Source organism: Homo sapiens, chromosome 1, assembly GCF_000001405.40.
Source record: "Homo sapiens chromosome 1, GRCh38.p14 Primary Assembly".
NCBI classification, from domain to species: Eukaryota; Metazoa; Chordata; class Mammalia; order Primates; family Hominidae; genus Homo; species Homo sapiens.
This window is the reverse complement of record NC_000001.11, coordinates 84,442,214-84,442,801: the sequence shown is the minus strand read 5'-3', so window position 1 is coordinate 84,442,801 and position 588 is coordinate 84,442,214. Positions and strand designations below refer to the sequence as shown.

At 35.4% G+C, this 588-nt stretch overlaps 1 annotated feature.

Annotated features, from left to right (window-relative positions):
* Positions 257 to 346: an enhancer, noted in NCBI's record as "active region_1250". NCBI's record gives its function as "activates an Ori minimal core promoter by ATAC-STARR-seq in GM12878 lymphoblastoid cells {active_cell/tissue: GM12878}" and the evidence as "EXISTENCE:reporter gene assay evidence [ECO:0000049][PMID:35858748]".

Here is a 588-nt window from a genome sequence, read left to right as displayed (position 1 = left end):
AGCTGTTACTATTCGGCCATCTTGCCAGCCACCCAAAAGTTGTAGAATTTAAATGGTGATAAGAAACCATCACTTTTTTTACATTTAAAGTTACCTTCTTAAAAGCTTTTGCAAAGAAAATCTTATGGAAGTTCCTACAGAAGGCAAAATCTTGACCTGAAGCAAGATTGCATTCTTAGTGCATATTCACACAGAATACCTTCCAGTGGGGTTTTATAAATGCATCTGTGTTGGGTTTCTTGCAACATCAACTTTCATTGAGAAGATAATTTTGGAGAAGTTGTACCAATAGTCATACGGAAAATTATGCTGTTTTTTTTCTTTAGTGGTTTTGGGTTGATGGTGATGATTCATGTCTGTGACTTAGCTAAGGAAGTAGAATCTTTGGTTTTTCTGCACAACACTGCCTCCTTGTGTAATGAGAATTATCTTCTAGTCCTTGAGTGTGTATATATACGTGTATCTGTGTACATACTTATGTATCTATATATATGTATATCCATTGTAATTCAGTAGCTTCAGCAGCTGAAACCAGATAGGTTGTCTCTTTAAAGAAAATTCGTGTTGTGCCCACACTTGATAATTTCC